This window comes from Homo sapiens, chromosome 11, assembly GCF_000001405.40.
Source record: "Homo sapiens chromosome 11, GRCh38.p14 Primary Assembly".
Lineage (NCBI taxonomy): Eukaryota > Metazoa > Chordata > Mammalia > Primates > Hominidae > Homo > Homo sapiens.
In genome coordinates, this window is record NC_000011.10 from 74,996,208 (window position 1) to 75,020,984 (window position 24,777).

At 43.4% G+C, this 24,777-nt stretch overlaps 1 protein-coding gene across 12 annotated transcripts in view; it reads left to right on the forward strand.

The window, feature by feature from the left end:
- NEU3 (neuraminidase 3) overlaps nt 1–24,469 on the forward strand; it is a 40,162-nt gene extending 15,693 nt beyond the window's left edge. For 6 of the 12 annotated variants that reach the window (XM_047426298.1, NM_001367860.1, NM_001367863.1 and 3 more), the window contains one exon: nt 9,206–14,700. In XM_047426298.1, coding sequence (XP_047282254.1) covers nt 9,206–10,285 — 1,080 coding nt within the window. In that variant the 3' untranslated portion in view covers nt 10,286–14,700. Of the gene's footprint in view, nt 1–649; nt 671–4,599; nt 8,199–9,205; nt 14,701–22,483 lie in introns of those variants that run through there. The other 6 variants (XM_047426303.1, XM_047426302.1, NM_001367865.1 and 3 more) reach the window with 5 other exon arrangements.
- Nucleotides 24,470–24,777: the final 308 nt, after the last annotated feature.

A 24,777-nucleotide genomic window follows, 5' to 3' on the forward strand; every position in this document is an offset into this window, starting at 1 on the left:
TTTCACAAAAGATTTCTCTGTAGCATGCAATGCTACAGAATTTGATAGCATTTTTCCCATAGTAGAACTTATAAATGAATCCTCTCAAACCCTGCTGCTGCTTTATCAACTAAGTTGATGTAATATTTTAAATCCTTTGTTGCCATTTTGACAATGTTTACAGCATCTTCACCAGAAGTAGATCCCATCTCAAAAAACTACTTTATTTGCTCATCTATAAGAAGCAACTCATTTATTCAAGTTTTATCATGAGATTGCAGCAATTTAGTCACATCTTCAGGCTCCACTTCTAATTCTCTTGCTATTTCCACCATATCTGCAGTTACTTCCTCTACTGAAGTTTTGAACCCCTCAAAATCATGAGTATGGGAATCAACTTCTCAATGTCTCTTAATGTTAATATTATGACCTCCCATGAATCATGAATGTTCTGAATGGCATCTAGACTAGTGGAATTTTTCCAGAAGGTTTTCAGTTTACTTTGACCAGATTCATCAGAGTAATCACTATCTATGGCAACTATAGTCTTATGAAATATTTCTTAAATAATGAAACTTGGAAGTTGAAATGACTCCTTGATCCGTGGGCTACAGAATGGATGTTGTATTAGTGGCCGTGAAAACAACATTAATCTCCTCATACATCTCCATCAGAGCTCCTGGATGACAAGGTACGTTGTCAATGACCAGTAATATTTTGAAAGGAATCTTTTTTCCTGAGCAGTAGGTCTCAACAGGGGGCTGTAAACAGAAGTGCTTCATCCAGGCTTTGTTTTTAGAGCACTGGCAGAGTAGATTTAGGATAATTCTTAAGAGCCCTAGGATTTTCTGAGTGATAAATGAGCATTGACCTCAACTTAAAGTCACCAGCCCGTCCTTTGAAGGTTTGAAGCCAGACATTGACTTCTCTCTAGCCATGAAAGTCCTAGATGGCATCTTTCAGTAGAAGGCTGTTTTGTCTACAGGGAAAATCTGTTGTTTGGTGTAGCCACCTTTGTCAGTTACCTTAACTAGATCTTCTGGATAACTGGCTATAGCTTCTCCCATCAGCACTTGCTGCTTCACCTTGCCCTTTTAAGTTACGGAGACAGCTTCTTGCCTTAAACCTCATGAACCATCCTCTGCTACTTTCCAACTTTTCTTGTGCAGCTTCCATACCTCTCTCAGCCTTTGTAGAACTGAAGAGAGTTAGAACTTTGCCCTGGTTTAGGCTTTGTCTTAAGGGAATGCTATGGCTGGTCTGATCTTTTATCCAGACCTCTAAAGCTTTCTCCCTATCAGCAATAAGGCTGTTTTGCTTTCTTATCATTCCTGTATTCACTGGAGTAGCACTTTTAATTTCCTTCAAGAACTTTTCAGCCTGGTGTGGTGGCTCACGCCTGTAATCCCAGCACTTTGGGAGGCCAAGGTAGGCGGATCACGAGGTCAGGAGTTCGAGACCAGCCTGACCAACATGCTGAAATCCCGTCTCTACTAAAAATACCAAAAAAAAAAAAAAAAAAAAAAATTAGCCGGGCATGGTGGTGCATGCCTGTAATCCCAGCTACTCAGGAGGCTGAGGCAGGAGAATCGCTTGAACACAGGAGGCGGGGGTTGCAGTGAGCAGAGATCGAGCCACTGCACTCCAGCCTGGGTGACAAAGGGAGACTCTGTTTCAAAAAAAAAAAAGAACTTTTTCTTTGCATTTACAGCTTGGCTGTTTGGCACAAGAGGCCTAGCTATCGGCCTGTCTTGGCTTTCAACATGCCTTCCTCGTAAGTTTAATCATTTCTAGCTTTGATTTAAAGTGAAAGATGGGGGACTCTTCCTTTCACTTGAACACTTAGAGGCCATTGTAGGGTTACTAATTGGCCTAATTTCAATGTTGTTGCATTTCAGGGAATAGGCTGAAGGAAAGGAAGAGAGATGAGGGAACAGTTGGTTGGTGAAGCAGTCAGGACACATATAGCATTTATCAAGTTCACCATGTAATATGGGCACAGTTGTCATACTCCAAAACAATTACAGTAATAACATCAAAGATCACTGATGAAAGATCACCATAACAGATTTAATAATAATGACAATGTTTGAGATATTGTGAGAATTAACCGAAACATGACAAAGACATGAAGTGAGCACATGCTCAGTTCAGGGTTGCCACAAACCTTCAGTTTTGTGGCAATATCTGACAAATGCAGTAGAGCAAAGTGCAATAAAATCACATAGGCCTATATTTCTTATTGTTGCTTTCCTCTCTCCCAGGGCTAGCTTAAGTGAGACAAATGAGACAATGGTTTTGAGAGTCTTTTGTAAAAAAAATATATAGTTGTGTCATCTCTCTATATCTACATAGTAGGCACTTTAATACTCCTAACCTACCCTGCTTTTTTACCTACAGATGTCTCAAATCTGACCATTAAATCTTCATATCCACAGCAGATAACCTTCTTCTGCTGTTAAAGTACACAGTGCAAATGCTATTCTGCTGAACATGGGCCTTGCCATCAATCCCTGTCTTTGCTTTTGATAACATTGGCTCACATTTCTCTTGGTGAAGTTTTTTACTTTGTGGGATTTTCAGTTCCTGCTCTTTCACCTTATCTTCTCATGAGTCTTTCTCATGGCCTCCCAGGACCAGACTTCTGCATGTATAACTAGCCTCCACAGAGGCCCAGCCCTACAGCCCAGTAGTACTTGGGATTCTAGCTCTTTCCTTTCTTCTAGGACAAGCATTGCCTGTGGTCATCGTCATGTTGCACTGTTTTTGATCACAGACAGTAGGCTGTTAAGCATTTTTTTTAATCCTATTTTTTAGAGACAACTTCTATGTTGCCTAGGCTGGTCTTGAACTCCTGGCTCAAGCAATTTTCCTATCTCAGCCTCCTGAGTAGCTACGACTACAGGTGTACACCACTGTGCCCAGCCTTTTAAATTTTAACTGTCTGTTTGTCTGTCTGTCTGTCTAGAGACGAGCCCTCTCTGCATTGCCCAGGCGGGAGTGCAGTGGCTATTCACAGGCTTGATCATTGCATACTATAGCCTCAAACTCCTGGCCTCAAGCAATCTTCTCACCTAAGCCTCCTGAGTAGCCGCCACTACAGGCAGGTGCCACTGAGCCCAGCAAGCATTTTTTATCAGACCACACCTGTTGCATAACTTCACTACTCAGTAGTCACACACATCCACAAACTTGTCCACTTTAACTCATTCTCTCTTTATTTCATTCTCTGACTTATTTAATTGTACAATCTTGAAGTTAGAAGAATCATGAGCCCAATTCTTTCCCAATATAGAAATCTGTATTCTATTGGTAGTTACTGAAATCTTAGTGATTAAGAGCATGGCTTTGGAGTCAGTCAAGACCTATCATTTATTGGCTTTTTGGCCTTGGATACTTGACTCTTCTCTGTTTCATCAGCTGCAACATATAATTAATAATAGATACTACATAGTAAGAACTAAACATTTGTCATTTTCCATTAAGGGTCTCCTTGCACAACTCTTCAGGTGAGCACCTGATTGCTGTGGCAGCTGGTTTTTATGTGTGAATGAGATGATCTCTACTTCTCTATAATTACCCATTGGTTTGTTCTGCCTTCTGGGGCAGTCAGTCTATACAAAATGTAGATAAAATCTCTTTTTCAGAGAACTACTCTCTGAAGTACCTGAAAGCTGTATTCATGCCCTCTGAGTAGTCTGTTTTCTGGGCTAAACAGCTTCAGTTCTTTCTGTAACTTCTTAGGGCACAGTCCTGATTTGGTTTCTGGCCCCTTGAAAATTGTGATTACTGTCGTTGGGATCTGGTCTGAGATAGCAGTGTCCTTTTTTAAAGTAGGATACTCAGAATTGAACTTGGGACTCCAAGGGTAGACAGGCCAGCTCAGCAATGAGGTGAGCTCTCCTATCTTGTATTCCCTTTAATGCAATTGAAAGTAAAATAGCACTTTCTTGGTAGCTACATAGCACAATTGACTAATGTTGAGTAGATGGTCAGCCAAAACCTCCAAGTCTTTTTCACATTTGTTATTCTTTTAAAAAAAAAATTAATTGTAGTAAAATACATCTAACATAAATTTTACCATCCTAACCATTTTTAAGTGTATAGTTCAGTAGTGCCAGGTATATTCAAATTGTGCACCCAATCTTCAGAACTTTTGATTTTTCAAAACTGAAAGTCTACACCCATTAAACAGCTCCCCATTTCTCCCTCCTCAGTCCCTGGCAACCACTAATCTACTTTCTGTTTCTATAATTTTGACTACTCTAGATATCTCATATAAGTGGAATTGTATAGTGTTTGTCTTTTTGTGATGGCTTATTTCACTTATATAATGTCCTCAAGTTTCATCCATGTTGTAGCATGTATCAGAATTTCCTTCCTATTTAAGGCTGAATAATATATCATTGTATGTATATACCATATTTTGTTTATACATTTTTTTTTTTTTTGAGGCAGGGTCTCACTTTGTTGCCCAGGCTGGAGTGCAGTGGCATGATCATGGCTCTGCAACCTCGAACTCCTGGGCTCAAGCAATCCTCTGCCTCCTGAGTAGCTGGGACTACAAGTGTGTGCCACCATACCCAGCTAATTTATTTATTTATTTATTTATTTATTTATTTATTTATTTATTGTAGAAATGGGGTTTCAGTATGTTGCCCGGGCTCCATTCATCTCTTGATGGATACTTTGGTTGCTTTTGCCTGTTGGGTATTGTGAATAACATTGCTATGAATAAGGGTGTGAAAATATCTCTTTGGGACCTTGCTTTTAATTCTTTTGGACATAAACACAGAAGTGGAATTGCTGGATCACTTGGTAATTTTATATGTAATGAGAAACTGGCATGCCATTTTCCATAGTGGCTACACCATTTTATATTCCTACCAACAGTACACAGTGGTTCTAGTTTTCCACATCCCCACCGACATTTGTCATTTTCTGGTGTGTGTGTGTGGTAGCTGTCCAAATAGTTGTCAGGGTGATACCTCATTGTGTTTTTTAGTTGTATTTCCCCATTAATTAGTGATGCTGAACATGTTTTCATATGCTTGTTGGCCATTACGTTTGTTCTTGTTTTTCTTTTTCTTTTTTTTTTCTTTTTTTTTTTTTTGAGATGGAGTCTTACTCTGTCACCCAGGCTGGAGTACAGTGGTCAACTCGGCTCACTGCAACCTCTCCCTCCTGGGTTAAAGCAATTCTCCTGCCACAGCCTCCCAAGTAGCTGGGACTACAGGTGTGTGCCACCATGCCTGGCTAATTTTTTTTGCATTTTTAGTAGAGACAGGGTTTCACCATGTTGGCCAGGCTGGTCTCAAACTCCTGACCTCAAGTAATCCACCCGCCTTGACCTCCCAAAGTACTAGGATTACAGGCATAAGCCACAGCACCTGGCCTACATTTGTTCTTTAATCAGTTTACCCCATGCAAATTTTTAAGCCACAACCTGTTTTATCTCTGTCAAGCCTCAGCTTGTTTTATATGTCCCATTGCTCCAGCTAGTTGAGAGCATCTTAGATTCCAAGACTTTCATGCTATGTTTACTCTTTTTTCCATCTTCATGTCAACTGTATGTTAGATATACCTGGCTCAAATAATTTTCTTCTCTCAGCCACTAAGGATGACTAAACTTCTGACTTCTCAAAAACTAGACTGCTTAATAAGTAAGCTGACTTGATCACATATCTCTGGCATGTTTAGTGTGCTCAGGGCACTCAGGTATAGAATGGGCTGTCCCAGAGATCTTGAATTCCCTGTTGAACTAGCTTAGTTCAAGGACGGAATGGTCTTTTATCCAGAAGACTGCGAGGGGACTCTTCCGTGGGATGGGAGTTAGCACTAGATAACCCTTATGGTCCATAATGGCTTAGATTTCTTTTTTGTTTTTGAAACAGGGTCTTGATCTGTCACCTAGGGTGGAGTGCAGTGATTGATCATAGCTCACTGCTGCCTCAAACTCCTGGACTTAAGTGATTCTCCTGCCTCAGACTTCCAAGTAGATAATGTAAAAATTATCTAGACCCAGATCATGTAAAAAAAAATGTTTTGTAGAGATAAGGACCCACTATGTTGCCCAAGTTGATCTCAAACTCCTGGCCTCAGGCAAATGGCTCTGAGAGTCTATGATCTGCGCCTGCTTAATCTGTTTTGTCCATTTATACAGAAATTAATTTTTTAAATTTATTTTTTGTTTTAGGTAGTTAATACATTTCATATAGCTGAAAAATAAAAAAAGTATAAAAAGATATATATCTCATTTCCATTCCCCTACCTCTTATAGGCAATCACTATTGTTTCTTGTTATCTCTTCAGTGCTGCTTCATGCAGTAGCAAAGCAAAGAAGTATGTACTCTTAATAGCCCTTTTAAAAACTTTTAAAAATGTGAAGTGATAACATATACAGAAAACATAAAACATAAATGTCAAATGCACAAAACATAAATGTCAGCTCAATGAGCCCTTATGACAAAGCCAACACTTGTGGACTCATATATAGAACTCACAACTAATATTCCAAGAAATAGAATGTCGTCAGCATCTGAGAAGCTTCTCTTATGGCCCCACCCTCCTTCCCAAAGGAGAAGTTGATTATATTAAGTTGATTTATAGCCCTAGAGTTTAGTTTTGCTTATTTTTAATCTATGTATTCTTTTGGTCTGGCTTTTGTTCAGTATTCTTGAGATTTATCCAAATTGTTGTGTGTAACCCTAATTTGTTTTTCATTGTTACATAGTATTCTATCGTATGAACATACCACAATTAAGTGATCCATTTTACTGTTGTTGGATACTTGGGTTAGTTATTATAAGTATAGATTATACTGCTGTGAATATTCTTATACATGTTTTTGGTACTGCGGGCATACATTTTGTTGGGTATGTAGCTAGGAGTGGAATTACTGGCTCATGTGGTATGTGTATGTTCTACCTCAATAGATAATGTCAACCAGTTTTCTAGAGTGATGGTTTTAAGGGTTGTTCTGCCTCAGTTCCATCCTTATTCCTTGGATTTGGCCCTTTAAGGTTCCATCTCAAATTACATGACAGTTTACCAGGCCTTCAAGTTTTGTCCTTCTGCTCCATAAGGTTGTCAAATGACTTGCTCAGCTTCTCAGCCTTTCAGTTACTTCTTTGAGAATTAGTAGGATACCCTAAGGGAAAAAGGGACCAGCCAACCTCTCTGAAAGAACTTAGCCTGTCATTCTTCATTCTCTTGTTTGCTCTCTGGTGCTTTCAGATATTTTGTTTTTGTTTAAATATTTTATCTATCTTTTCAAGTTCTCAGTGGAAGGATTGGTCTAATTATTTAGTTTGCTGTAACCAGAAGTCCCTTTCCTCCACATTTCTGATGCAAAAGGTAGCATACTACATACACTATTCTGTATTTTGCTTTCTTTATTTAAGAATAAATTATGAAAATCAGGCCAGGCTCGGTGGCTCACGCCTGTAATCCCAGCATTTTGAGAGGCTGAGGCAGGCGGATCACCTGAGGTGAGGAGTTTCAGACCAGCCTGGCCAACATGGTGAAACCCCATCTCTACTAAAAATAAAAAAATTAGCTGGACGTGGTGGTGCAAGCCTGTAATCCCAGCTACTGAGGAGATTGAGGCGTGAGAACCACTTGAACTCGGGAGGCAGAGATTGCAGTGAGCTGAGATGACACCACTGCACTGCAGCCTGGTTGACAGAGAGACTCCATCTCAAAAAAAAAAAAATTATGGAAATCTTTCCATATCACTATATATGGAAAAAAGGTCTTCCCCCATGTATTGCATGTTCATTTCACCCATTCTGTATTGACGAATATTTGAGTTGTTTGTAGTATTCTGCTACTTCAAGCAATGCTACATTTGAATAATCTTATACATACTTAATTTGATGAGCAGATATATCTTAGGATGAATTCCCAGAATTGGGCATGATGGGAAAGGATAAATGTATTTGTAATTTTGATATATGTCCTACATACAGGTTGAACCATTTGCACTTCAATCCATATATGAAAGTCCAGTTTCTTCACATTTGCCAACACAGTATTGTCAAGCTTTATGATTTTGCTAATTTGATAGATGTAAAGTGTTATGTCAATTTAGTTATTTTGTTTTATTTTTATTTTTAGAGATGGGGTTTTGCCATGTTGCCCAGACTGGTCTCAAACTCCTGGACTCAAGCTATTCTAAAGTGCTGGGATTACAGCATGAGCCACTGTGCCTGGCCATTGTCAGTTTCGTTTTAATTTGCATTTCTCTCTTATGAGTGAAGCTGAACTTTTTTTTCTCTTTCTGTGAGTTGTCTGATCTTGCCCTTTGCCCATTTCTGTTGGATTCCTGGAAATTTTCTTACCAATTTCTACTATTGTTTTGAAAATATGTTAGGGAGATTAGACCTTTCTTTATTTGCAATATGTCTGATTAGGCATTATCTCATTGTATCCTTATAATAACTCCTCTGTGAGGATGTTATTAAATTTTCCATTTAACTGATAAAGAAATTGAGGTAAAGTAAGATTAAGTAACTTGCCCATAGTCACAAAATAAGTGATGAAAGCATGGTTTGAACTAGGTGTCTCTGAATCTATGCTTGAGCTTTCAACAAAAGTTATGAATTGCCTTCCCAGTGTAGTACAGGAGGGAAAAAAATTTGTCTTAAATTTCCTTTTATTTGCTTAAAATTTCTGTATTTGTTTGCCTTGCTTTTCTTTTCTTCCTTTTCTTTTTTCTTTCTTTCCTTTCCTTTCTTTTTTTTTTCTTTCTTTCTTTCTTTGTAAAAATATTTAGCACCTATTATGTACCAGGGGCTGGAGAATCAATATTAGTAACCAATAGTATAAGCCCTGAAAAGGCTCATAGTCTAGAAAAGGAAGACAGTCATAAAAAGTTACAATGTTATACAATAAATGTATTAGGGGAGGAGAGTGAGTTTCATGGAAGGCTTTATAAAGGAGGTGACTTTTGAGTTGGGTATGGAGGATGATTTGGAAGTCTAGATGAAATGAGGAATAGCATTCCAGACAGAGGAGACAGCTTGTACAACATTTAGCATTGTCTCTTTCCAGCTTTGTAAGTTATCCTGTAATATCCGAGAATTTAGTGAGTAGTTAGGCCTTCGTGATTTTATAGATTTCAATATCATTTATTTCTTATTTATGAAAAATACTAATACTTTTAATGAGCTTCATGTTTTCCTATTAGTATCTCACTCCTACTTTCTCCCTTCTCCTTGTCTAGTGGGGGCCCCTGAAGCCACTGATGGAAGCCACACTACCGGGGCATCGGACCATGAACCCCTGTCCTGTATGGGAGCAGAAGAGTGGTTGTGTGTTCCTGTTCTTCATCTGTGTGCGGGGCCATGTCACAGAGCGTCAACAGATTGTGTCAGGCAGGAATGCTGCCCGCCTTTGCTTCATCTACAGTCAGGATGCTGGATGTTCATGGAGTGAGGTGAGGGACTTGACTGAGGAGGTCATTGGCTCAGAGCTGAAGCACTGGGCCACATTTGCTGTGGGCCCAGGTCATGGCATCCAGCTGCAGTCAGGGAGACTGGTCATCCCTGCGTATACCTACTACATCCCTTCCTGGTTCTTTTGCTTCCAGCTACCATGTAAAACCAGGCCTCATTCTCTGATGATCTACAGTGATGACCTAGGGGTCACATGGCACCATGGTAGACTCATTAGGCCCATGGTTACAGTAGAATGTGAAGTGGCAGAGGTGACTGGGAGGGCTGGCCACCCTGTGCTATATTGCAGTGCCCGGACACCAAACAGGTGCCGGGCAGAGGCGCTCAGCACTGACCATGGTGAAGGCTTTCAGAGACTGGCCCTGAGTCGACAGCTCTGTGAGCCCCCACATGGTTGCCAAGGGAGTGTGGTAAGTTTCCGGCCCCTGGAGATCCCACATAGGTGCCAGGACTCTAGCAGCAAAGATGCACCCACCATTCAGCAGAGCTCTCCAGGCAGTTCACTGAGGCTGGAGGAGGAAGCTGGAACACCGTCAGAATCATGGCTCTTGTACTCACACCCAACCAGTAGGAAACAGAGGGTTGACCTAGGTATCTATCTCAACCAGACCCCCTTGGAGGCTGCCTGCTGGTCCCGCCCCTGGATCTTGCACTGTGGGCCCTGTGGCTACTCTGATCTGGCTGCTCTGGAGGAGGAGGGCTTGTTTGGGTGTTTGTTTGAATGTGGGACCAAGCAAGAGTGTGAGCAGATTGCCTTCCGCCTGTTTACACACCGGGAGATCCTGAGTCACCTGCAGGGGGACTGCACCAGCCCTGGTAGGAACCCAAGCCAATTCAAAAGCAATTAATTGGCTTAGGACCCAATTTCCATAGATGCAAATGGCAGTTACAGACAGGTTAACAGAAGCTACTGAAGTCTACAGATAATCAAAAAACTTAATATTCTGTTCCCTACCTTTTTTCACTTTTCCTCCTCCAAAGAGCAAAATGAAAATTTTGCCTTAGCTACTGCAGTGGAAAGAGCACTGAACTAGGAGTTGGAAGACAAGGATGTGGTCCTGGCTCTGCCACTGGCTTGCTTTTGGACCTTGGATGTGTCACCTGAACTCTCTGGACCTCAGGTTTCCATCTGTAAAATGAGAGTATTGGTTCTAAGATTTCTCATCTTCTCATCCCTAGGACAAGCATAGTGCCTGCATGCTTCATGATCAGTAAGTCCTGGCTGCATAAAGGACTCTGATGTCAAAATGGAAACCAGGGGACTTACCTTTTCACATGACTTACCCCTCATCCGAGTGTGAGGTTACAAGCAGGTGTCATGGCAGGAAGGAAGACCAGATCTGTATGATTTGTTCCATTTTTAATAACAAAAATATCCACACCCTTTTAATAATGCTCAGTTCTGTAGGCTCTCTATCCTAGAGGAATTGAGCAAAACAGAAGAATCATGAAGTCTCCTACCTTCTACAGCCTTGTAGTTCTGCTTACCTTCTCTTCCTCATCCAGAAAGCATCATTTTCTAGGGAGAACAATGAGAATCTCAATGCCAGTAGTACTGGATAATAGTGCGTATTGCTTCTGGTGGCATTACCCTGATGATGGGCTGAAGTTCATTTATTAGGGTGGTTCCTGATGGGAAAAGGACATGGATTAGGACTTTAAAACACTGGACAGAATTTCCCACAGTCTTTGCCCTCAAGGAGTTCACCAGTTTATGGGGCTAGAAGAGCGAGAAAATTCAAGAAAATAAATGTAGCTGGTGGGAGACTTTGTAGATGTTGGGCTATATGTTGGGGTGATGGTAGCTCCTGATGTAATTTTCTTAGTTGCATCTTCAATATGCCTGGAGTCGTCTGTCCAAGGCTTGTCCAGGCTTCTGGGTTTCTCTCAAGTTTGTTTTTCTCAGGATATTGTCCTGGCCCAGCTACTCCTTTACCTGTGAGAAGATCTTCACCATTAGGAAGATCTCTAGACCCCCAGATCTCAGAATCAGGCCTATTTGTGTAGGCCCATGGAAATCACTACTTGTGAAGTAGAGATGCCTTTTTGTCTAATGGTTTTCGTGCTGAACTTAGTTCATGCTGAGTCTCTCAGATGATACCACGTTGGTTGTTCCTATCTTAGATTGTTTCTCCCATAGCCTGTTATTGCAACAGAAATTCTATCATGAGAGATTTATTTTTTTGTCCCTATTTTAGGAGTCTAATGCTTAAACTGGTATCAACTAAATATATTTGGTGTTGTACAATGACCACAGAGAACAAGTCTTAGTCATGAAATATAGCCTAGGAGACTAGGGGTTACAGTTGCACTAGTTGGGTAGAGAGAGTCCTACAGGATAAAAGTGGAGATTAACTTTACCTACTTTAGCAGATTGCTTAAGCCATGGCTTAGAGTGGCTTTTAAAAATCCCCTTAGCCTCTCCTACATTTGCCAAGGTAATCTTCCCAATACACAATTATTCACTCATGTATACATTTATCTAAATATTTCTTGAGTGCCTAATACAAGGTACTTTCTACTGCCATTCCTTGGCTCTAAATCATTTGTGGTTCTCCATTGCCTATTATAATGTAAAGATGTTTACATTTAGCCTGGCATGTAGGACCTTCCAGCTGTTGGGTGAAATAATGCACACTTTCCTCTACTTCCTTATATGAGGCCCACTGTCAGGGAAAACCTCTGTCAAGTTGGCAGGTGGAGGGTGGTGGAGGTCTAGGGATGGGCAGGATTGGTGCAGGGAGGAATTGGGGAAGGGGAGAGGATTAAAAGGGCAGCCCCCTCCTGAGTGGTAGAAACTCCTTGTTTAGCAAAGCTTTCCTGAACACTGTACTGCAAGTGGATAGGAATAGGGAGGATGGCCAAGTCGTACAACCAGGGCTAAAGGATGAAAAGAATGAGAATATCAACTTCTTTTTTTTTTTTTTTGAGACAGAATCTCACTCTGTCGCCCAGGCTGGAGTACAGTGGCACAATCTCAGCTCACTGCAGTCTCCGCCTCCTGGGTTCAAGCAATTCTCCTGCCTCAGCCTCCCAAGTAGCTGGGATTACAGGTGCCTGCCACTACGCCCAGCTAATTTTTTGTATTTTTAGTAGAGACGGGGTTTCACCATGTTGGCCAGGCTTGTCTCGAACTCCTAGCCTTGTGATTCGCCTGCCTCGGCCTCCCAAAGTGCTGGGAATACAGGCATGAGCTACTGCGCCCAGCCGAGAATATCAACTTCTTTAGGACTACTCAAGAAGGGAGTCAAGGCAGGGACCTTGGTCTGTGCCACTGTGACGCAGAGATGTATAATACCAGTACTCATAAGAGGTCCATCTCTAAATTGCCCTCCTCTTACTTCTTCCCCCTGCCTCATGTTTTTTCTCTTTAATGACTAGCATCGAAACTCTTTAAATGGGGCAGGCCTGTGTTCTTATCTCAGGAATAGTAAGAAAAGGGGGTTGGGAACAGGGGAAATCCAGAATAAAGACTTGAGAAAGGAACAGAGTGGGTGATGGCAGCTATGAAGAAAAAACAGATCAGAAGAAGAGTCCTGGCACCTTAGGAAGAGAAAGTGTCACAGACACGAGGCCTAGGCTAGAGAGATGGTGTAGGTGGTAGCTGCTGTGAAGAAGAAATGACAACAGGCTGGAGCTGTTCCCTGAAACCTGTGGGAAGGAAGAGAGACCTGCACAGGCCGGCACTTAGCTTGTGGAGAAGGTCCTAACTCAACACTGCAACTTTAAGCTGGCTTAACTTGTCCAAGTTCCAGATGACCAACAAAGACAGCTATAGACACTCTAACTCTGTGCCAATTACCCAAGGCCTTCAGGGCCCTGGGACCTATTCCATGATAGTGGTACCCTAACTGAACCCATTTCAGCCACTCAGATTGATAGGATGGAAAAGACAGGGCAGGTGGTAGCAGCTGTGAAGAAAAGAGGAAAGCAGAAGGGTGGCCTATAATCTACAGGCATGTAGAGAGGACTACATAGGCCTCTGTTCTTTGCCCTCAGGAGCCCCCTTCCTGTCCCTTGGACTCAGAATGGATCCTTCCAGCACACATGGCCCAACACTGAGAGTGCAGGAAGCATGGGTAGGGGCCTCCTGCTGCTGGTATGTACCCAGGCCAGCCTCCTGCCGACACAGCCTACTGGCTGGGTTCATGTTCTTACTATTCACCTCAGGCCATTGTCTGGGTGCTTAATTTGACTTGTTTCCCCTGGTCACCAGTCTCCCCTCCGATATTCACAGGACATCAAGCAGCTTCAGCCACGGGTAAGAGGCTTTTCACCCTGCCTGTTGGGTAGCCCAGAGGACCCACAAAGGTCAACCTGAGTCTCCACAGCCTCCTCCCCAGGGCAGTAGGAATTGATATCTCACTTTTGCCAGATTAGGCTTCTCACTCTTCTTGAGTAGGCCATAATCCACCTCTTCAGTAGGCCATGCATCTTGTCTCTGCAGTGCCAGAATTCACAGTCTGGGCCTCCCTTTGGTCCTTACCATAGGCTGCCATGTATTATTGTCTATGTTGTGCCCTGTAGGCCTCTGCTAGGCTGTGAACTCCTTGACTGACTCCTCACTGTGTCCTTTTTACCTTGAATCACAGTGGCTTATCTAAAAATATAAGCTTTTTTCTGTCATATTCTGAATTCCCTGAAGGTAAGGACTATGTCTGATTCCTCTCTTTGTCCTCTGCACCCAGCGTAGGGCCTGAAACAGAGTAGCTAGCAGTAAAGATACACTGAATGAATGAATGAGTCAACCATCCTTGGCCTCTGGAGCTAATTGAGAAGGCTAGGGGGAGTTCCGCTGTAGGGAGAAGGATGTTGCATCCCTTTGTAGATTGTGTAGCATTCAAAACCTGCTGAACACTCACCCTCAATGTATATTCTCTGTTCTGGCCTGCTTCAAGGTCAGTTACACTACTTCCTGGGATGGGCCTTTCTCTGGCTTAAGCTTGGTTGTCCCTGGCTTTCCCAAGGATCACAGCCCAAAAGGCACAGTGGGGAAAATTTATGGCCTATTCCAGAAGAGTGAGCAGCCTAATCAAGCCAAGCCTTGATTTGGGGTTCTCACTTCACTGGTATTTTCCCTCTGTCCCTAATTGGGTTTTCTATAGTTACTAGTTTTCCAGGCCTCCAAGGGAGATTCTGAGGCTTGATGTGTTCTGACTGTGTCTTGGCTTTGTGATGCTGAGTGCCAGAAATACTCTGTACTATAAAAACTACCATCGTTCTTTGAAACAACAAAGAGGAATAAAGAACTTAATTCTGGTGACTATTGTTTTTTTTTTCTTAAACTATAAGATGACTATTATACTAATATCTAGTTTGTACCCAACTTGTTTTAAAAAATGAATTTGAGGCAATTTCTTGGTTTTTCATAAGAACTTTTACTCTCAGAAACTTTACTAATGATAATCCTTTGCACTTTTACACATTGTTATTTGAACTTAATTACCTATTAAGGGAAGCAGAGCAGGGATTACAATGCCTGCTTACGGAATACAATGTCATACACTAGCTTTTAAGAGGAGGAGCCAGAGGTACAGAGTCACCACTGACAGCAGTGCTGGTGCTTGCCACTGCATATCTTACCCTTTTTTCAAAACACCTTGAGATTATTCTCAACTTGTAGCTGAAGGGGCCACAAATATTTATTAACAGCCAAATCAAGTGGAATGATAGCTTTAACTTAACTGCTAATTTTTACTTGACTTTGTTTGTTCCATTGAGACGTTTAAGGCACTACTGAATTTGGCCAAATTTTTCAGCATAACTCCTTAAGCTCTGTCAGTAGGTCAGTCTGCTCTCTTAATTTCACTATTGGAAAGCTTTCAGGCTGGGCATGGTGGTTCATACCTGCAATCCCAGCACTTTTGGAAAGCTGAATCACAGAAAAACATCCTTGGCTGGTGGAGAATGCCTGTGTCAGTAGAAAACTGAAAGAAGGGAGCCAGGCAGAAACTGATAAGGGTTGAGAGGCGGCAAGAGTCCTGATGATAGCCAGTAGGGTCCTTCACTGTTGTGGGAACCAGTGACCCACCAGCCTTTATTTCTTAAGCTAGCTTGAATTAGACATATCTATATATGTAGCTTGCAACCAAAAGAATTTAAGTACCCATCCTCACAGAAACTTGATTAATTGGTACCTAAACTTGTTAGTCACTACCTGGAACTGAAATGTAAGCCATGAGGAGTTAACTTTTTTTTTTTCCTAAGTTTGCATGCACTCTCTTGCCTCTATTGCCTCAAGAAGCCTTGATAGAATCCCCACTTGCTCATTGCCTGGCTTGGGTGTTACAGCTACCTTGATCTCCTCTTTGGTTACGTTGTATGCAGTTTGTAATCCATCTTCGTCCTCTTTGCTTATAAGTGCCTTCTTGAGGGGTGGCTTTGAGACTGCTTCATCAACATCATGATCTGGCAGTTTTGACAAAGATTCCTTGGTTGATTGATAGTCCCTGAGTGACGTGTCCAGTTTCCGTCTGCATGCATTTACAGCCATGCAGAGGTTTGGGGACTTAGCGGGTGGTAATTCCTCACATCCTCGTAGCCTAAATACTTTGAGGAAAGGAAATAGTTCCTCACCATTTTCCTCAATCAGGCATCTTCTGACCATCAGGAACCTCATGATGTCATGACCTACTCCAGTCAACAAAGCTGCATGGTTGAAACCTTCCTCAATGAACCTATGCATTGTCACATATGGTGTCATTTCAGAAAATGTGGCAATGAGTTTAAATTGGCTTATAAAGGTACACGGGGTCATCCGTAGGCTTGGGTGAGCATCAAGTTTAAAACGAAAGTATGTGATTTTGATGTCAAGGCCTTTGCATGCTAACCATGATGCAGCCTCTTTAAAGTCACACACAGGATCTAGATCGACTGACAGAGACACCTCCAGGCCTGACGGTAGATAGTAGAGTATTAAACCTTTTGGCGATTTGTCGCATTGGATTGCCACTCAGCTTGCACACAATGTAATATATCAGAAGACAGCTTTAGCGACTTTGCACTTGTGTTGAAGTTGCTCATTTTGTTCCAGTCAGCCATGAACCATGGAGCATTTTGACCCTCTTTTCCCAAGACTGATCTGTCTGGAGTAATGAATTCTTTAAGCTCTGGAACGAGGGTATAAAGTTGATCAAAAGTAGCAACGAGCACTGTGATAGTAACTGACACAGTACCTCCCAAAGTGAGAGAGTTTGCTTTTGGAATTGAAGGAAGAGCTGTGCAACAGGCAGCGTACACATCTTAAGTGAGGCAACACAATCACAGGTTGATCACCTTCGCTATGTTCTAGTGGCATGTTTGCAGGTTCCAATCACTAGGAGCTTTAATGGCTTTGTTAACCTGTTGGTGATGTCGCATGAAGATTGTCTGACAAATTACTTTAAATACTAAAGTTTGATAAACAGTATTACCTAACAGTACATTACCAGGAGAGACATTGGGCTAGAACAGAGAGAGAACTGGACTAGGAGGAGCCAGGAGTTCAAGGTCCTTGTCCTAGAGCTTGTCAGTGACCTGATGGATGACTTTGTGCAAGTCACTGGCCCTCCTGGGAACCAGTTGATTCAGCTCTATCATGAGCACAACCCTTGCCCAGCCCCCTCACCAGAGAGTGGTGTAGATCTGATGAGTCAGTGAATCCTCAAAAGGGTTTAGAAAACAGTGAAGTGTTGTGTCAATAGGAAGAAGATAAATTGCCATCCTCCCTTTGATCTCCATTATCCTTCAGCACTGGCAAGATTTGACTGTTGGATGCTAAGAATGAGAGTGATGCAGAAAGAGGGGAGGAAGGCAGGGCCCACTGAGGAGGGAACTCCAAGGTGGACGACCGTCATGCCTTGCCTCAGTCCATCCTTAGCAACTGCAGGCCTGATGATTTTCACCAACCTTCTGACTGTGCCCCAGACTTTTTGCTCCCCTGCTATGAGGAACAACCCAGCCTGGGTATGGAAGAGGGAAATCTCAGCCCCAAGTAGTTGGGAAGGGACTTGGTCTGAGTGGTCTCTGTCCTCTGCCCACCACAAGGCCAGGTATATTACAGTATAGGAAGAAGAGTACAAGGGAAATAACATTTGTAAAGTGCCTACTATGTACTTTGGGTTATACATACATTCTCTCGCTTAATTCAGCAAGCCTGTTTAGAGTTAGGAAAGCTGAGATTCAGCAAGGTTACACAATACATTCCAATGTCACACAACCAGTAAGTGTGACAAAAACCTCTGTTTTTGTCGTATAGCAAAGAAGAGGCAGAACTGAGGGGCAATGTTTACCTTGCAGGTTGATATGAGGCAAAGATAGTGCCTCTTAAGTCCTTGGAACATGGTGGACATTCAGCAGCTGGTAAGAGGCAGCTGATGAGGCAACTGTAATAATGTATCTTACAGTGCACTAGAGTCACCTCTCAAACCAAAGGTTTCCCCCTTCCATTTTATCCAAGAGAAATGCATTCATTTCTCTCCTTGGAAGCCCAGACCTAGCTGGAGATTATTTTCCAGTGCCCCCAAGCTTCAGATCAGATGGCTTCCAAGACTCAGAGTCATCCTAAACATAGTTTCTGTTGTCACCAACTAGGAATAGAATCAGAAATGAGAACCTGGATTCTCTTAAGGTGTAAACAGAACTTGATAGCAGATGAAGCTGACTTAGTGCCAGAGGCCTCAGACACGAGGCAGATCTCTGAGTCACAAGTTGGAGATAGATTCTGTTTGGGACTACAGCCAGTAACCCTGTCTCTGCCTTTCCCCACTATGGGGCAGTCTCTGAAGCTGTACCCAGTGACTAGGTCTCAGCCCACCATTGCAATGTGGATGTTCCTTCACACATCATCCCTAATCCTCACAACAGCCAAAGAAGCAAGGCATTGTCCCCAACCTGCAAATCAGGAAACTGAGCCCTGGAAAGATTGAGTCACTTGGGAAAATATAGGTTTTTCATCTGTAAAAACTAGAATAGGCTGGGCATGGTAGCTCATGCCTGTAATCCCAGCACTTTGGGAGGCAAAGGTAGGTGAGGAGTTCAAGACCAGCCTGGGCAACATGGTGAAACCCTGTCTCAACAAAAAAATACAAAAATTAGCCAGGTGTAGGGGCACGCACCTGTAGTCCCAGCTACTCGAGAGGCTGAGGTGGGAGGACCACGTGAGGCCCAGGAGGTTGAGGCTGCTGTGAGCTGTGATTGCGCCATTGCACTCCAACCTGGGCAACAGAGTGAGACCCTGCCTCAAAAAAAGAAAAAAAGAATAATAAAAATACCTTTTATCTCTGAGTCACAAGTTGCAGATAGATAAAACTTTTTTAGATAAAAGTTTAAACCTTTGGCACATAGAAGATGTTCAAAACATGGGAGCTGCCTTGATTATTATTTTTTCCTACAGTAATCATACTAGCCCATAATGTGTGCGCAATGTGTATGTGATGGTCTGGATATATGTGTCCTCCGCAAATTCATATGTTGAAACCTAACACCCAAGATGATGGTCTTAAGAGGTGGGGTCTTTGGGAGGTGATGAGGTCATGAGGGCAGAGTCCTCATCAATGGGATTGGTGACCTTATAAAAGACCCGAAGAGGCTTGTTAGCCCCTTTGCCCTTCAGTCATGTGAGGATGCAGCAACAGGGTGCCATCTGTGAGGCAGAAAGCAAACCGTCACCAGACACCAAATCTGCTGGTAGCTTGATCTTATACTTTTCAGCCTCCAGAACACTGAGCAATAAGTGTCTGTTTAAAAATTGCCTAGTCTAAGGTGTTTTTGTTATAGTAGCCTGAACTAAGACGTGTTAGCAATACCTTCAAATTTATGTGTGCATATGAATCACCTGAAGAGGTTTTTAAAAAAACAAAAAAAGTTTCCTGGCCCCACCCACTGCCCCTCAAGCTTCCCCCTCCACAAGAATTTAATTCGGTAAATCTGGGATGGGACCTGAACATTTGCATTTGTAACAAGTTCCCAAGTAATGCCGATGCTGCAGGTGCACAGACCACTCTTGGAGTAGAATTATGTTATGGTACTTACTTCTTCATATATTACCTTACCTGCCTCCTACTCACACTTTTGCCAGCCTCATGAGGTAGGAGGAATACAGACTGTTACTACTACTGTTCCTATGGAATCAAGCTTCACTTCCCAAACAGGTGTCCAACTTGTGTCCCTAGTCTGTCAGTCAGCTGTATCCTTCCTGGGTCAGAAATTTAGCTTTCTCATGACATAATAATTACCTGGAATTCCTACTGATATTCTTTCCAATAAAGGTAACATCATAGCATGAGCACAGATCTGGACAAGTGGGCACAGGATGTTTCACCACCCATACAGCTGGTCTGTAAGACTCTGGGCTCAGCCGAGGACTGGATAGTCTGTGGACAAAGAGACCTCGAGTTACTTGGGCTGCCAAGGACTCAGCTGTGTGGAAGGGGCTTTTTATCCTTGCAAAGGGGAGAACAAGGGTCAGAGCACAGAGCATAAGCTATGTCTGGACAGTTGCCAAGCTAGAGATTGCTGAACTCCATGGGTTTATGGGTCAAATATGAGATTCAAGGGTGAAAACTGTGGGGCTTCATTGTACCCATCATCCAGACAATAACCTGACCCTATGTCTGATCTGGACTCTCATGTTCTGCCTTTGGTGGCCACACTATGGCCAAAGACAGAGGTCCTCCTGTGTTTCTTGATACCTCTCTCCTTAGCTCCCTCCCCTAAGCGACCCCAGATTCAGATTTCTTTGGGGTCAAGGCATTGGAAAATTGTCAAGAAGCTGCAGTGCCCTTCTTGCTACTCTATGTGCCTGGTTTCAAAGCTCAGGTTTCTGTTTTGAAGTTGAATTATGGTTATAGGCCATGCATTTTGGGTTAACACCAAGTCCTATGGGCAGGTATGAATTTTGAGGGGTGGGTGCCAAGTTTGTTTGTTTACCATATTATTCCATCCCCTAGCATAGTGGGACTTAAGTATTTGTTGAATGAATTAATGGCCATTCTATTTTTAATCACTTGGAGAAGCAGAGATCCTTCAAAATTGGAAACTCAAAGGTAGGTCCTGGGTAGGATAGGACACTCTTGCCTTTCTTGATGCACTCCTTTCATTTGGCTTTATGGCATTGAAGTGACCCTAAGGATGATCCCCAGCAGCCCGAGTTAAAGTGAGCCATGGATTCAGGAAGATGCCATTGAGAGAATCCCAGACTGGAGCTGAGGAAGATCTACTTTGCCAGTCCAATCATCCAGGTTCATAATGTGTTCTTTGTTGCTACTCAGAAACCTTTTCTAAAGCCTGGTCTGAACACTCTAGCCTGGCATCTGCTGTGTCAATGGCTGTAAGGAATAGTTGGGTGAACACATCCGACCTAGAGCCCTGAAAGTGGAGAGTGAGGCTCCCAAAGGCCAGAATGGTGGTGGCAGTAGAAATCAGTGAGGGAAGACCTAACAGGAAAGATAAATCTTGAGGCCAGAGTCAAGAATCTCCACCCCTTATATGAAGATGCTGACTTGGAGGAAAGCTATAATGTCCTTACAACTCTTGGGAGAGTAGGCTTCCATGTCTGCTTCCAAGGCCAGTGAGTATCCCAGTGCTTCAGGCATTCCAAATGGGAGGGCATAGGTCTTATACTAGGCCCAGAGTTGGGGCAGATCCTTGTGAGACTTCCCTGAGCTTGATGGGGTGGCAGACACACTTATACTTGCTAAGGTGCTGAGGCTGATCCCACCAGCTAGGGACGGATGGGTTCCAGATTCAGCGGCTCAGATAGGTGGATGTGTTTGAGCAGGGCTGCTACTGTTGGTGCCCCATACAGAAGTATCTGGCCAAGGGGAAAATGAGGCCTGAAATCCAGCCAAGAGTGGAGCTCCCAGCCCTTGCAATTATAAGGCTGCAACTGTCAGAAGGGGCACCTTTTCTAATTAGCACAGGGTAGACCTTGGGAAATCCTGATTTGGGGTGTCCGAGGTAGGCTAATCATGGCTGCCTGAGTATGCTGGGCTGAGGAGTCCATGCCTGGCTTCTTTGGGGATATTGGGGCCAAAGGCTGGCTCTCCTTGCACTGTCTGAAAGAGGTTGACCTGGGCCTGTGAGCCAGGCTGAGTTCTCCTCTCTCAGGGCTATGGGGGGATGCCTCTAGTATATGCCTGCCCTGCCTAGAGCACTCTAGACCACTCTCGAAAAAGACCTCTGTACTGAACAATGGGGGCCTCTGGTCTTTGGGGTAGGAATTAGTAAAATCTATTTTCAGTGACAAGACTGGGAGGTAGGGAGGAAAACACTTAAATGACATTTAGGAGAATGTCATTTCTCTCTTAGTGAAGAGAGAAAAATTAAATTAAGGTTATGCTTGCAATGAAGAGGAGCTTTGAGCAGAAGTGACAAGTCTTCATTCTAACTCAAGTTTTAGCACTTTTTTTAAGCCTTCCCTTCCCTCTCTCCTTCCTTTCTCTCCCCACCCACCCACTGCCTTTTTTAACTAACTGAGTGAGACCTTGGGCAATTCACTAAATTCTGAGCCTACTTTTCTTCCTCAGTAAAGTGGGCACAACAACTCTCACCTCTTAGCTTATTGAGAGGATCTAGAATGCATTTGTGTAATGGGCTTCAGATGGAGATAAGGTGAGCTTGTTCTCCCCCTCCCTGCCTTCTTCCCACTTGTGATGGTTAAAACTGACTCAACTTGATTGGATTGAGAGATGCAAAGTATTGATCCTGGGTGTGTCTGTGAGGGTGTTGCCGAAGGAGACTAACATTTGAGTCAGTGGGCTGGGAAAGGCAGACCCACTCTTAATCTGGGTGGGCACCATCAAATCAGCTGCCAGTGCAGCTAGACTATAAAGCAGGCAGAAAAACGGGAAAAGACTTGACTGGCCTAGCCTCCCAGCCTACATCTTTCTCCCTTGCTGAATGCTTCCTACCCTCAAACATCAGACTCCAAGTTCTTCAGTTTTGGGACTCAGACTGGCTTTCCTTGCTCCCCAGCTTGCAGATGGCCTACTGTGGACCTTGTGATCATGTGAGTTAATAAAATCCCCTTTGTATATCTATCTATTTTATTATTTCTGTCCCTCTAGAGAACCCTGACTAATACAGTAAATTGGTACCAGTAGAGTGGGGCATTGCCGAAAAGATACCCAAAAATGTGGAAACTACTTTGGAACTTGGTAACAGGCAGAAGTTGGAACAGTTTGGAGGGCTCAGAAGAAGAGAGAAAAATGTGGAAAAGTTTGGAACTCCCTAGAGACTTGTTGAATGGCTTTGACAAAAATGCTGATAATGATATGGACAATGAAACCCAGGCTGAGGTGGTCTCAGATGGAGATGAGGAACTTGTTGGTAAATAGAGCAAAGGTGACTCTTGTTATGTTGTAACAAAGAGACTGGTGGTATTTTGCCCCTGCCCTAGAGATTTGCAGAACTTTGAACTTGAGAGAGATGATTTAAGGTATCTGGCAGAAGAAATTTCTAAGTGGCGAAGCATTCAAGAGGTGACTTGGGTGCTGTTAAAGGCATTCAATTTTATAAGGGAAGTGGAGCATAAAAGTTCAGAAAATTTGCAGCCTGACAATTTGATAAAAAAGAAAATCCCATTTTCTGAGGAGAAATTCAAGCTGGCTCTAGAAATTTGCATAAGTAAAGAGGAGCCGGATGTTGATCCCCAAGACAATGGGGAAAATGTCTCCAGGGCATGTCAGAGGTTTGCATAACAGCCCCTCCCATCACAGGCCTGGAGGCCTAGAAGGGAAAAATGGTTTCATGGGCTGGGCCCAGGGTCCCCGTGCTGTGTGCAGCCTAGGGACTTGGTGTCTTGCGTCCCAGCTGCTCTAGCTGTGGCTGAAAGGGGCCAATGTAGAGCTTGGGCCATGGCTTCAGAGGGTGCAAACATCAAGCCTTGGCAGCTTCCACAGTGTTCAAAACATGGGAGCTGTCCTGATTATTATTTTTTCCTATAGTAATCATATTAGCCCATAATGTGTGCACAATGCATATGTGATGGTTCCTGCCCCACGTGGTGTTGAGCCTCCCAGTGCACAGAAGTCAAGAATTGGGATTTGGGAACCTCTGCCCAGATTTCAGAGGATGTATGAAAACACCTGGATGTCCAGGCAGAAGTTTGCTGCAGGGGCAGGGCTGTCATGGAGAACTTCTGCTAGGGCAGGGCAGAAGGGAAATGTGGGGTTGGAGCCCCCACACAGAATCCCTACTAGGGCACTGCCTAGTGGAGCTGTGAGAAGAGGGCCACTGTCCTCCAGACTCCAGAATTGTAAATCCACTGACAACTTGCACCGTGCACCTGGAAAAGCTGCAGACACTCAACGTCAGCTTGTGAAAGCAGCCAGGAGGGAGGCTGTACCCTGCAAAGCCACAGGGGAAGAACTGCCCAAGAACATGGGAACCCACCTCTTGCATCAGTATGACCTGGATGTGAGACAGGGAGTCAAAGGAGATTATTTTGGAGCATTAAGATTTGACTGCCCTGCTGGATTTCGGACTTGCATGGGCCCTGTAACCCCTCTGTTTTGGCCAGTTTCTCCCATTTGGAATGACTGTACTCCCACTGTATCTAGGAAGTAACCAACCTGCTTTTAATTTTACAGGCTCATAGGTGGAAAGGACTTGCCTTGTCTTGAATGAGACTTTGGACTGTGGACTTTTGAGTAAATGCTGGAATGAGTTAAGACTTTGAGGGACTGTTGGGAAGGCATGATTGGTTTTGAAATGTGAGGACCTGAGGTTTGGGAGGGGCCAGGAGCAGAATGATATGATTTGGCTGTTCCACCACCCAAATCTCATCTTAAATTCCTACATGTTGTGGGAGGGACCCAGTGGGAGGTAATTGAATCATAGGGGCAGGTCTTTCCCATGCTGCTCTCATGATCGTGAACAAGTCTCATGAGGTCTGATGGCTTTATAAGGCAGAGTTCCCCTTCACAAGCCCTCTCTTTGCCTGCTGCTATCCATGTAAGACGTGACTTGCTCCTCCTTGTCTTCCACCATTATTGTGAGGCTTCCTTAGCCACGTGGAACTGTAAGTCAATTAAACCTCTTTCTTTTGTAAATTGCCCAGTCTCGGGTATGTCTTTATCAGTAGCATGAAAACGGACTAATACAACTAATACACCACTCTCATGTCTGGGCAGGGCCAGTGGGCCTGGGAGGCAGAGTCTGTCAGTGGGACTGGGGCAATAAGGGGTCTCTCTTGTGTCTGAAGGAACCACAGTGACCCACTCAGGGGGCCTAGAGGCAGTGAAGGCTGTGGGCCTGCCACATCTTGTCAAGACTGCTCAAGCAAGTCCTCACTGCTCCTCCAGCTCCCTGCCACCCTCCAATCCATTCTCCCACATAATGGCTCCTTCGCCAGAAGGAT